The sequence below is a fragment of the Homo sapiens genome, chromosome 1 (assembly GCF_000001405.40).
Source record: "Homo sapiens chromosome 1, GRCh38.p14 Primary Assembly".
Lineage (NCBI taxonomy): Eukaryota > Metazoa > Chordata > Mammalia > Primates > Hominidae > Homo > Homo sapiens.
Window position 1 is genome coordinate 66,695,037 of NC_000001.11, and position 14,460 is coordinate 66,709,496.

At 36.1% G+C, this 14,460-nt stretch overlaps 1 protein-coding gene across 52 annotated transcripts in view; it reads left to right on the top strand.

The window, feature by feature from the left end:
• SGIP1 (SH3GL interacting endocytic adaptor 1) overlaps nucleotides 1-14,460 on the top strand; it is a 217,779-nt gene that overhangs the window by 161,676 nt on the left and 41,643 nt on the right. For 31 of the 52 annotated variants that reach the window (NM_001376535.1, NM_001376549.1, NM_001376542.1 and 28 more), the window contains one exon: nucleotides 398-457. The exons of the other annotated variants lie outside the window; for them this stretch is intronic. In NM_001376535.1, the coding sequence (NP_001363464.1) occupies nucleotides 398-457 (60 nt within the window). The remainder of the gene's footprint in view (nucleotides 1-397; nucleotides 458-14,460) is intronic. 52 annotated transcript variants of the gene reach the window in all.

A 14,460-nucleotide genomic window follows, 5' to 3' on the forward strand; every position in this document is an offset into this window, starting at 1 on the left:
TGGAAACATAGAAGGGGATGACATTGAAGATGAAATGGATACAGCAATTGCTGAATGACAGTTTGCCCAAATTAGTGCAGTTAAAATATGCTGACGCCCCTGCATGGCCAGGAAGACTTCTGCTCCATGCACACAAGCACCAAGTATCAAGCGACCACCAACACATTCCCATTCCTTTAGGCCTCCATAGCTTTGCTTTTGCTTTCTGTTTCCTGAACTAAAAAAAAAAAAAAAAGTGTAGATTGCCAGCCTTCCCTTTTTCCTGCACGCTAATGGCATGTAGTGCCTCCACCCTTCCCTATAGTGAGATTAATGACCTGCTCTGTAACTCACATTGTGTCCTTCTCTCTCCCTTTCCTTAACCCTTCCCATCCCGCTTCAACTCCTGGCCATACAGAGAATGAACAGCCTTCCCTCGTTTGGTTTGACAGAGGAAAGTTTTATTTGACTTTTGAAGGTAAGTAGTGCATAGCATACCAGATTCTAATTTATACTCCTCCTCATCCTTATTTCCCCATTTGCATTTCCAAATCCCAGTTCTCTTCAAAAGTTCTGGTCTCACTTTCTATATGAAAATGCTATGGCTACTTAGAAAATATTAAACACTAAAGGAAATATTACATGAATTTGGTTTGTATATGATCTTCAATTTTTTCACATTAAAAAAAGTTCAAGCTAATTTGCAGTTAATATTGGTTATTTAATTAACTATGGTCAATTGAAAATAAAACAAAACAAAACACACCTTTTTTGGCCAAGGAACTTAACTCTGTCAACCAGGGCTCTTTCCTAACTCTTTTGCAAATGCAGTGCAACAAATATAAGGACATTTTTGGTTGGTATTGGTATTTAACTTGTTTTGGGTAATTAATATTTTAGATGCAACATGCATTATTGTAAAATCTAAATATGTAAATACATTCTTATGACAAGGAATGCTGTATAAGAGATCAGAAAAATCGGGAAAAGAAAAAAAGGAGTTTATTAGTAAGTTTGTTCTGCGTCTCCTGAAATTGCAATTGAGATGACTGCAGTAAAATGGAGAACTATTGCTGGACTTGCCATTTAGAAGATTAAGGAAAATATACATAAATATAATGTCAAATATCTAACCTCATTCTTTGATCATTTGTTATATTCTGCATAAAGGGTAAGCATTCTTCTGTTTTATATTTAAGTTTTAATCATCTTAACAGGCCAGTCATTTGATTAAATGGTACATTTGAACTAATGATGGGGGAAGAAGTTAAGTAATTTAACTTAATTTATGGACCATCTTACACATAAAGATTTATCACATAAAATCCTGCTTTCTAGGATTTTAAATAGCTACATTTATCCCAGGATCAAAAGTTGGCCAAAACACATTCCACTCTAGATTTGAATCTAAATATTGAACTTGTTTTTGTGTTTCATGGCAACAAAATAGAATTTTCATAACTTGAGTGTGTGTTTTAATGCAACTTTAAAAATCAGAATGGCTGATATACATAAATAGTTTGTATAGTTGTGGCTTTTTTCTCTCAACAATAAATTTTGCTTGCAAGATAGTCATAGAGATAGAAGTTCTTAGCTAGAACTTATCCAGAAATAGCTTGGGTAGTATTAGGAAAGATGGTCTGATTTCAAATTTCTCAAACATCCTGATTTCCTGAACTAGCCTGGTCAGAAGGCAGGTGAATAAGCAGTCTTCAGGAGAGGATGTATCTTCTGCACATGAAGTCAAAGCCTTCATTGCCTTGGGTCATTAATTTTGTGATAACCAAGATGCAAAGTCCACAACTTGTGACCTCCTAAACTTTCTCTTTGAATTAGATGAAATTAGTAAGTGCCCAGGTATTTTTTACTAATCAGCATGTTGCCAAAGAAGAAACTACAGTTGCATAAGTTGGTAATCCTGAAGTAAAGCAATACCTGCATACTTAAAGGCACTTTGGTTCCATCTGGTCACACCAGATGATGCAGTTTACCTTCTTTTAACCAGGAAAGTAAACAAGGCACTTTGCCAACCCTCAAATCATTGTCTGGGCTCAACAACAAAAAAACAACTCTGACAGTTTTTTGTTGTTTGTTTTGGCTAGTGTATGTGTCAGCTTATTTGTTTATGCTTTATTGTGGACCTCTTTTGAGAGAGAGAGAGAGATCTTTTTTGAAGAAACCAATCTAAAGACATCTTTGGTTGTCTGTTTTGAAAATACATATTATCAATCAAATATAAATATTTAATAAATGTGTGGAATAACATATCACATTTTATGAAAATATATTTGTCAGTAGATGTCTGGGTATTTAAAGTTGGTAACATTGCCATTCTAATTAGTGAGACCCAAATTCCTTAAACATCTCAATTTGGGCCAAGAGAAGTCATGCAAGAAGCGTTTTAATAGAAATTAATTGGAATCTCTAGTACTGTATTATCTTAATCTTGGACTTTGTTCAAGTTTAAGTATAAAGAAGGCTTCTTGAAAGGATGTGTGAATAGCCATATCATGAATGTTGGTGTCACTGTTTCTCTCGCTAAAAAATGTTTATGCAGATACAAGTATATTCAAATGCACTTCAAGGGAAGCCTTAGAAGAAACTAAAAATGATGTCTTGCTATCTGAGCAAAAACGGCTATATTTTTTAAATGGAGATTTGTTTTCATCATGTATGTACGCTAGACTCGGGTATTTTTAGCTAGTAAAACCTAGAAGAATTTTTTTAATTTTTCTGCTGTGATGATAAAATGACATAGAAATGGTGACATTTTAATTTACCTCGAGAGTAGTGCCCCCACCTAAATTTTTATACTGCAAAAACATTTTCCTTCAACATGCTTTATTAAATAGGATTTCTAACATATTCTTGTAGGGCACTCTGGTTTTACCCACATTTGTTATTATTAATATTAATTAACATTATCTTTAATTCTTCATTCAGGGAATGTAGAAGAAGAAAGATTCCCACTTCAAAATAGTCATCAGTTCCAAATAGCTTTTCAATTTTTATTTATTGACTTCTAAATAGTATTTTTACAGTGTTCAAAACACTATTCTGTCTTGTTCATCATTTTGTTCTTACAATGCTTTAGATATCATTGTCAGTCAATGTTTGAGCTACTGATCAACCAATCAACTAAGTGGCGTATGACTTTATTTGAGGATAACATGGGTGCTTCACACTTCCAAATTTAAGTTAATAATAGAGATAGAAAAGTGTTAGTGGTTCTAATTCTCGAGTCCCAGTGCTTTTCTGAATGTTTTACTTTTAGAAACAGCTTCACTGAAATATTAATTTATGATAAAAATTCTATTTATTTTAAGTTGGGAAAAAAACAGTAAAGATTGCAAATGGTGATGACTTTTTTTTTTTTTTTTTGAGACGGAGTCTCGCTCTGTCGCCCAGGCTGGAGTGCAATGGCTCGATCTCGGCTCACTGCAAGCTCCGCCTCCCGAGTTCACCCCATTTTCCTACCACAGCCTCCCGAGTAGCTGGGACCACAGGCGCCCGCCACCACGCCCGGCTAATTTTTTGTATTTTTAGTAGGGATGGGGTTTCACCGTGTTAGCCAGGATGGTCTCGATCTCCTGATCTTGTGATCCACCCGCCTCGGCCTCCCAAAGTACTGGGATTACAGGCGTGAGCCACGGCGCCCGGCCCAAATGGTGATGACTTTTTAAATTCATCAAAGACTGTATCCTATTGAAGCTATCAAGTATTCTGAGGTGGGAGGGCAAGATATTTTCATGACAAATATTAAATAGAAGATATGACTGTTAGCTATTTGAGCAATTCCCTAGAGTATTTGAACATCAAGATGTTTCCAGAAATGTACTGCACTTCTCCTTGGTTAGCTTTTTTAACTACAAAATCATCTCGTATGTGGTGGTGAAAAACAAACAAACAAAAAATCTGCTACCTTAAGTACTTAAGTGGCCTCGTGTAGGAATATAAGCTCTGTCATCTACTCATATAGCCTCTTACATCTCACACACTCTCATCTCTAGACTCTCTGCGCTCCTGTTTACTCGTCTTTTCCCATCATTCCCACCAGGAATGCCACATCCCTAGCAGTACCCTTTTCTACATTTCAGTCTCTCAGCTGAACTTGCCCACGTGTTTCCTGACGAAATCCTGACTCTTAGGAGCCATCACTTCCATAGCACTCTCTATGGAGACCTCTCTTCAGTCTTCTGTGGATCGTTCATCATGGGACTAGGAGGCAGTGTTTGGATTCTCTTAGCTCCCTATTGCTGCTTCCAAAGCCTTCCTGATTGTGAGAGCAGCCGTCTGATAATTCCACCCTCTTCCACTCCTTATTGCTGTTAACAGTTGACTGCAGAGCAGTCCTCTGCATTTATCTTAGAGGTGCTGGCAGCTTGCGTGTCATCCTCTGTGCCACCTCACTTCCCAGCATCATCCTGTGACATAGAGTGTACGTGTGTGACCTGTCTCACATGCTGGCTCCAGGGCCTCTTGATTTTTGCTCCAAGAAGCTTTCTCTCCACTTTACTCGGTACTCCACACCTCTGGCCACATCCTGGAAGTCATTCCCCTGGCAAGTCTCATTTCAGCTGTTTCATCATTAAGAATTTGTCACCCTTTTTGTACACCAGGGACTTTATGAAGCAATATTCTTTCATTCAACAAATATTAAGTGACTGCCTGCTGTGTACTAGCACTGTCCTGGGCACTCCTTACTAGTGAACAAAACAGAAAAAATACCTGTCCCCACAGAGGTTATGTTCTACTGTGGAAAGTTAAAAAGATAAATAAGTAAAATATATATAGTATGAATATTGTAATGAGTTCTATAGGAAAAATAAAATAGGAAAGGAGAATGGAGCATAGTGAGGGTTGCAGTTTTAAATTGGGGAATTTGAGGTTGAAAAATGAAAAATAAAATAAAAATAATAATGAATATGAGTAACTAACATCTGAGTATTTACCATGTGTAAAGCAGCCTCCATCTATTATCTTATTTCACCTGCACAACTCACTGATGCAGAAACTGAGATTCAGATAATGTAAGTAACTTTCACAGGGTCACACAGTCAAAAGAGACAGAGTGGTGGAGCGCAGTGGCTCACGCCTGTAATTCCAGCACTTTGGGAGGCCGAGGCGAGTGGATCACCTGTGGTCAGGAGTTCAAGACCAGCACAGCCAACATGCCGAAACCCCGCCTCTACTAACAATACAAAAATTAGCAGGGCATGGTGGCACGTGCCTGTAATCCCAGCTACTTGGGAGGCTGAGGCAGGAGAACTGTTTGAACCTGGGAGGTGGAGGTTGCAGTGAGCCAAGATTGCACCACTGCACTCCAGCCTGGGTGACAGGGTGAGACTCCATCTCAAAAAAAAAAAAAAAAAAACAGAGTAATGATTCAAACTCTGGCCACCTAGCCAGAGGTCACTACCTCACCCTACTGTACATACCTAATCTCATTCAGTCCTTGCAACAAAGGTTTTGCCCTAATCTTCTAGCCTTCCAGCTCTCTAATTTCCTGATACTACACCTTATTTTTCCCTTTTATTTTTAGATGACAGCTAATAATTGTCCTATTTATAGGATACCAAATAATATTTCAATACATGTGTACTATGTATAATAATCAAATCAGAGTAATTAGCATATCCATCATCTCAAATATTTATCATTTTTTTGGGTTGTGAACATTCAAAATCCTCTTTTTGGAAATATACAATAAATTATTGTTTTCCCTATTTACCATACAGTGCTATAGAATACTAACATTTAGTCCTCCTATCTAGTTGTAATTTTGTACCTATTAACCAGCCTTTGACCCCACTGAGACCTCTGTCCTCACGTTCTTCCTGTTCTCAGTCCACTAATCCAGGTGGAGATATTCAAGTTCTTTTCATTATCCAGATGAGACCCCAGAGAGGAAAAATACGTTTCTGAAAGGACCTTAATCATTTACATAATAGGAGCTACATTTTTTCTTTTTGGAGTTATATTATCTCTGTGAAAAAAATAAACGCTTGGGCATTTTAAATGTCTGACCTTCTTAAGCAGGTTATTAAATACCCCTACTTAGTCATTGGCAAGTCACAATTATAGTCATAGAGCATTCGACTTTCCTTACCCTGACATAGCAATAAAGTAAGAAATGAACTGGTCAAATTTCTCACATGCAGCCACAAAGATACTAATTCATTCATTTGAGAGACACTAAAGGAAGGAAAATTGGAAGATATGACCAATTTTCTGGGGAGCAATGGCTATGCTAAATTCACATTATTCTTAAGTGGGAGGTGTTTGCTAATAGCACTTACCCCACTGAAGGCCCCTTTCAATCAATAACAGGAAAATTATTAAGTACCCACTCTGCAAATCACAGCATTAAGTACCAGGTTGGGGAAACAATACAGAAACATTAAAAGCAGTTTTACAAGACTGTCTTCATTAGAAATATTAAAACCACGCTCCTTAGCTATTCTGAGTTTTTATATATGGACTGTATTGTCTATCTAAAATGAAAAATTCATTCTATTAAAATAACTGAAGGTCACAGAGAGTTTTTTTTAATAGCCTCAACCTGTTAAGAAGATTAAAGTGGAGCTGAACCTGCAAAATCTTCTATCAGGCAGTTCTGCCGAGGATTTCAGTAGTACACTTTACCTCTTCATAATAAATTAGTTCCCTGGTTCTGAAAATTTTGACATTGACCAGCATGATGATCATACTTGGTTTCCTGCTCTTTGAGACAGTTGTCCTGTCTCATTCATGATTAGTGTACAACTGTCATGCTGATGTTAGAACAGAAAGCCAGCAAAGTGTCCCCTGTTTCTGGCCTGAGGTCTAGGCCAAAATGGAAGGAATAGGCTTCTAGAGAGGACATAAATGTACAGAATTCATGTTAGAATTCTACTGATGGGAAAGCTGGAGAGCAGGTGTGTTACCTTCTATTCCAAGCATGTCACCATGCAAGGAGTACCTAGTTGGTGAAAATATCATTTTGCTTGGATTCAGCATATCTGGGGTGCTGCTGTTTTTACCAGTAATGCTGATGCAGTGTATCGCTGATGAGCCCTTAATACGGGCTACATTCTGAGCTAGCTACTCCACATGCACAAGCTCATGTCATTCACACAACAGTCCTAGGAAGTGGGTACTATTGTTAATCACATTTTACAGATGAGTAAACAAAGGCTCTGAGCATTTAGGTAACTTTTCTGAGATTACACAGCTAGTTGGTGGTTAAATCAGTTAGAGGGGAGTTATTGATAACACAGCTAGTCAATGGTTAAATACGTTGAAAGGGAGTTACTATTATGTCACAAAACTGATGTTCCTAACCACTATGCTACTCAAGTCTTGGTTGTGCCACTCAATAACCACGTGATCTTGAGCATTTAATGTCTCTGGGTCTCTGTTCTATCATTTTTAAAATGGAAAGCATAATACCCACCTGGCAGGATAATTAGGAAAATTGATAAGATGCATTGTTTTTGTTTAATAAAGTACTATACATATGAAAGGTTTTAAATTATCCATGCTTTGAAGTTGCATTCAAATTAAAGAAGAATGAAAGGAAGAGACCAAGAAGGTATTGCATCCAAGATGCATTTGTTTCTCATTTCTGGTAACTTCCTGGTCTCTAAAGTGGCCTCTTGGGTGTCTGGTGGTGACTATACTTAGAAGCTTCTTGTATCTCTATCAGACTCACTGATAATGTAGTTTCTTCCTCTTATGGCCATAATGGTCCAAAACACACAGTTGTTTCTGAATATGTCTGTCATACAAAGGCCAATAGGTTTAAAATAGATAAACATTGGGCAACATTTGCTTTGCTCAAGATTGAAGCCTTTCACTCCCCAGAGAGGAATGGAACCCTGAGTGTCAGCTGCACTTCCCTGGGTGCAAAAGTAGATTCTAGAACAGGACTTCTCATCTGACTGGAGTAACCAAATGGGGAACTAACAAGAACAGCGGAAAGTCTTGAGCCCCACAAAAAGAAGGGTTGCTATGCGTGGACAATTTTAAAACCTGAAGCATAAGTTAAATAGTTCCCTGGAGCAGGAAAATGAGTAACAGAATAGAAAAGTTAAAGAATATTCACTCATTTATTTTTGCATTCAGTGCTTCACAACCAGTCCATGAGCTCTTCTAGCTACAAGCCCTTGTGCTGGAATTATGGAGGTGAAATAATAAAACTCCTGCCTTCCAGTAATTCACAAGAAATAGAAGAATAGAAGAAAGAGAAGAGTTCGGCACTTCCTATGCAAAGCATCCTGTAGCAAAGGCAATGGTAGAATTGCAAAAATGTTCTAGTAGGGTGATGGAAGAAACGGGAGCAACATTTATACCTACATAGACTCTACCCTGAAGCAATATAACATGTTGCTATGTTAGAGTCTAATAGAAAATCTTAGGTGATATGTAAATGTTAACCTAAGGTATGCTTGGTATTATCCTAGTATTAGAAAGATTCCTCAATTAATGCATATCCATTTGCTCTCAGTACACATATACATACATATGCACACACACACACACACACATATAGAGATAATAGAGAAAAAGATATGGAATATATATATCATATATATGATATGATATGTATCACACATATATTCTATATCATATGTGTGATATGTTGACATACTGATATAGCATACATACTATATATTGTATATCAGCTATATCACATTTATATATGATCTATATCATATATATTATATATGATCATAACCTACAGTATGATATATATCATAGGTTTTCATATATGATATATAATGTTTTTGTATATGATATATATGAAATATGGAATATGAATGATATATGGCATATCATAGATATTTCATATCACATATATAAAGAGAAAAAGAACTCTGTGTGTGTGTGTGTGTGTGTGTATGCGTTTATGCATGAGCTCTGGAATAAGCCTTCTAGATCTTAGTTATAACCTCAGCACAATGTGTGACTTTAGGCAGGTTACCTAACCTAAGACTTAGTTTCCTCCTCTGAAAACTGGAATAATAATGGCAGCTCTTTCACAGGGCTGTGGTCAAGATTAAAGTCAAACACTTAGTATAGTGCATGCAAAGCACTCAAATATAAGCAACTGTTGTCCAACTTCATGCATCCTCTGCTTGTAACATGGCTGTGTTTTACTTAGTTCTTGCCTGCTTTGGAGAAGTTTCAGTTGTGGCATTCTTGTCTTCTTCCACATAAAAATCTGACAATTTGATTCTGCTGAGAGTTGCTACATGGTCTCCCTTCCTTGTCAGCAGGGATGATAAGCAGTGTTTTCTCTGCTGGTACGGAGCAAGACAATGATTTGGAAGCATCATGCCACTGCGTTGCTGTACACCCTTTGCCTCTACCAGAGCCCATTATTAAAGCTGACTTGTTGAGACTAATGGTCTGCCTGCCAGTGTACTCCTGGGGGTTCTGTGTCAACACTGATGGGAGATGTGGCAGAAAATCTTTTATCCTCTCTTTTATTAAAGGATTTGTAAATCATAGCATTTCTGCCAATTTGACATATAATTTCAAACTTCCTGAGAAAAGAATGGAGAAGCTGAGAATTCCAGGGGGAAACTGCTTCATCTTTGGATGGTTCTGAGCCTTCAACATGCAATCGCTGGCTGATGACCTCTATAGCGTTTGTTTCTATTATGTCTTTTGAGAAGAGCTGTCCACAGACTTTGGCTGCCTACCCTATTTCAAAATACTGTTCTTATTAACCTCTGACATAAATGAATGAAGAAAGTATACTAGTGATTCAAAGAGATTTTATTAAGACTCAGGAGAATCTCCCACTTATAATCCTTTTTATGTGTCTGCTGTGGATATATTTAATCAGCACCACATATACTCCAAACAAATTTTAGACAATTACTTGTGAAAGGCTTTTGCAAACTATAAAGTACTATTCAAAAGTAATCATTTCCTAAGATAATAGTTAGTATTAATGAATATTTAATATGTGCTAGACATGTGCTAAGAATTTTATATTAATTGCTTCATTTATTAAATCAAAGATTGGCTGAGAGACATTAACATAAGGCATTAACATAAGTCACTGTCCTTAAGATTTGAACCTTTTTATGTCTTCAACTATTCTGCACTGTGTGTGTAATCATTTCTGCTACAGCGTGGACTGTCAGCAGACAAAAAAATTTCATGGACTTTGTGTTCTCTTCTGCTGACTTTGCCGTACCAAGTCACCAGGACACAAGTAAATATGGCCTTGGGGCTTCTTTTCTTGCTGACGCATATTCACACAGGCAGCGTGTGCTGTGTGTGTTTACAACTGTGTTTCTTAGTCTTCTATTCAGAGTAATAACAGCATGACTTCCCCTAAGATCTGATTCAGAGAATTGAAATATGCCCTGAGAAAACATAAGAGGTTTTTCTGGAGAAGTGTCCCAAGGGTAATATTAATTGTTCAAGGATGTTTCGGAAAAGTTGCAATCATCACTGTGGCAAATGAATCTAGGGAGAGGAAGCATGAGTTATTTAATGTCAGTTACTCCTTTCCTTAGGTTTTTGCCTTTTTTTGGACTTTACACACAGCCCATTTGCTATGAAACTAGCAGCTCAAATAGCAGGCTTTCAGGCAGGCAAACAATGGCAGACTGCATTCTTCCTACTTCTCCAATCATATTTATCAGTCCCATTGGGAGAATAACTTTCAGTAGTGCTCAAAATTACCAGCATCCAATTTGTAACTGCAAGGAACCATTCAAGAAATAAACACTTCAAGAAAAGAAATAAACCATTCAAGGAAAGAACACTTATGGGTTCTCACTCATAAGTAGGAGTTGAACAATGAGAACACATGGACACAGGGAGGGGAACAACACACACTGGGGCCTGTCGGGAGTTGGGAGGCAAGGAGAGGGAGAGCATTAGAACAAATACCTAATGCATGTGGGGCTTAAAAACTGGGTGACGGGTTGACGGGTGCAGCAAACCACCATGGCACATGTTTACCTATGTAACAAACCTACACATTCTGTACATGTATCCCGGAACTTAGAGTAAAATTTAAAAATAAATAAATAAATAACAAAATGTTTCTGAATTCCAGTTATATTAAAACAAAAACAAAACAAAACAAAAAAACTTCTTCATTACTTTGGTTCACAATTTATTTCTTTTTAATGAATTACTGTTTTTGGTAAAATCTGAAATGTTTTTGTTATAATTTGCTTCTTGCTATCAAACCATTTATTTTAATTTGGTCACTCATCTTTATTACCTTTATCTCACATTTTCATCAAATATTTTTAATTTTGAATATATTTTATATTATACATAAAATATAAACTATATATTATATAATATGTAAAATATAAATAAATATTTATACTATAAAATATATTTATATATTTATAATATAAAATAGTTATATATAAAATAAATATATATGATATAATTTATATAGAGATACACATTTATATATAATATAAATTATAAATATTTTAATAAATATTTATGACAGTTGATATTTTAATCTAAATATTATCTTTTCTCTTTAATAAATAAATGTAAAGATGACAAAAGAAAAAAGAAAAAGGAAAAATGTAGAAATCTCAATATTTAAAATTCCAAAGTAATTATCAATATGTACTTATATTTTTTCCTCAGTATGAAAGTAACACATACACATTATAGAAAACTTGGAAAAACAGAAAGGTATTTTTAAAAAGATCTATAATCAAATAGCTGTAGATGACCACTATTATCATTTTGATGTTTTTCAGTTCTGAGATTTTGCATGTGAATGTGAGTCTGCGTGTGTGCATGTATAGTTTATATTATCACACAGTGTATAATTATGCATCCTTTTATTTTAACATACGCTAATATTCCCTTTGACACTTCAAAGTATTTACAAATAGCTCACAGTTGGCTTTATTGTGATCATGACATTAATTTAAGCATATTATTACTTTTAAAAATTCAAATATGGGAAAGTATAAATAAAAGAGTAAATATCACCCCAAAATCACACTATTCAGAGAGTAGTAGAAATAACATTTTTGATGTTTTGGTGAAAATTCTTGATGAAACCCTGTCTGCATGTATCTACACACACACGCATGGGCACACATACACACACAAATATGTGTGCTGCATTTACTTGATCCCAAGAAGCCATACACTGGGTTATGCTCCATTGTTTTCACAACTTTTTGGGCACGAAATAAACTTTGTCAAGTGTAGAAAAGCATTTTTTTTTCTAACCAATAATAATAGACAAAGTGCTGGCCACTATCTTCAGTATAACCATCAGAAACTGAGCCTAAATCTATTTCATATTCAGAATCTGCAGACACATCTGAATCACTTCTGGCCATCAGCAGTTACAATTAATATCATAGTGGCATGATGATTTTTCTATACCACATATTTATAACCTTGACCTCTTTATACTCTTTGCATTGATAGTTTAATTTTGTGACACATCAAAAATTCCAGAATTTTATCTGCATTAGCTTTCCAGAATTTACTTATAAATTATTGCAAAGTAAATAATTTCCTTGAAAGTCAACAAGAAATTTTTGACAGATACAGTTATAGCACCTGAGTGTTCCTTTAGGATGCATGTCAGTCATAACCTACTTGTTTCATCTTTCAAAATTCTGTATCTTAGATTCCAAAGAATGTGACAGTTTCTCCCACCAGCAGTTGCATAGTCTGGTAGATGACTGTTAATTTTCCAAGAGAGTTGATGAGTTGTCCAGGGGCATTCACATCTTTGGCCCTTTTAAGCCTGTAGATTAGTGCTTCTCAAACTTTTTTTTCATTATCCCTCTTTCCTTGCCCAGAGAGCCTCTGTTAGACCTTGTTTTTCCCTAATTGCTCCCCAAGTCGAATTCTAATATCATAGAGGTACTGTACATCTGGTCATGTGCTATATGTATATTTGTGTGCTTTATATATTTAACAAGTAAGATTTCTTTCACCTTCCCCAAAGAACCAATTTTTATCCCCTTTGGGGTGATACTTCTGCTTTGAGAATGCATGCCATGCCTGCAGCTAGATCTCGGATCACAACTTCCTAGGATGTAGGGGCAAACATCTTTAACACAGGGTAGGGTTTAAGAATACAATGGAAGTTAGACCTGGTTTTCAGTCCCAGCTCCCCTACTTACTATAGAGCAAATTACCTTGAGCAAGTTATTTAATTTCACTAAGGTTTAATTTAAAAGAGTGTACCTCAGAGAGATGTTTTGAGATTAGAAGACATGAGGCATGTAATGTGTTTAGCACAGCGGCCATCGTATACAAGTGCTTTACATAAATTAGCTTTTGATATATTTATTCATATTCTTCATAGTGCCATGCTATAGCTGCCTGTTTCCAATGCTTGATCAAACTCTCACCACTGTCTATGTGAAAGTGTTTAAAATTTGGCTGTATGAGTCTTCATACTAAGACAAAGAAAATCCTAAGTTTTTAGACTGAGGAAATCAATTTGAGCAAGTGTACATTCACTTTTCTTTCATTTGTATTATGACTTTGTCTTCTGTCTTATGTTCATATTTAACAATAGTATTTTTGTTGAATACATGTGTTCTGACTTGGATAATAAAAAGCAAGTATAATATTCTCATCTTCTGAGTCAAACATTTTAGGAAGTTAATTCAATTGGGCATTAATTTTGGATGACAGTTTAGGTGCTCTAGGCAAAGACCCAGGTTGAAGAAAAATTCTCTACAAAACATGAAGAAAAATGTCAATTGATTGTATGTTCCTGGACTGAGCAGAATTTGAAAAGCAAAAAAAATATATATGCACATGACATACATATATAACCAGGGCAAGTGAGCAGAGACTTATGAAGAGGAAGACTGGAAATAACTCTAATCCTATTTACATACTCAGAAATCCAGTACTCTCAGTTCTACGCTATGAGAACTGACTTTCTTATTTATTTATGTATTTATTTTGGGCATCCATGCATGTTTATCAATCATTCGAATTTTTTTTTCTGTTTGTTTTTGTTTGTTTTGTTTTCTTTACTGTTATACTTTAAGTTCTGGGATACATGCGCAGAGTTCTGGGATACATGCGCAGAACGTGCATGTTTGTTACATAGGTATACATGTGCCATGGTGGTTTGCTGTACCCATCAACCCATCATCTACATTAGGTATTTCTTGTAATGTTATCCCTCCCCCAGCCCCCCACCCCCGACAGGCCCCAGTGTGTGATGTTCCCCTGCCTGTGTCCATGTGTTCTCATTGGAGAACTGACTTTCTTAAGTACACTTTCCTCATTTTCATGAAGGAGAACATGTAGCACTCTGAAAAGCATGTAGCAAGGATAACTCACCCAGTGCTACCATGGGTAAGGACGAGGCCTATGGGGCTCTTATATGGAAAAGTGTGGAGTCAAGTGAATCTAGATTTGAATTCTGACTCCACCATTTACTGGCTGCAAAAACATGGGTAAACGGTTCTCTCCTCTCAGACTCAGTTTCTTGATCTATAATAT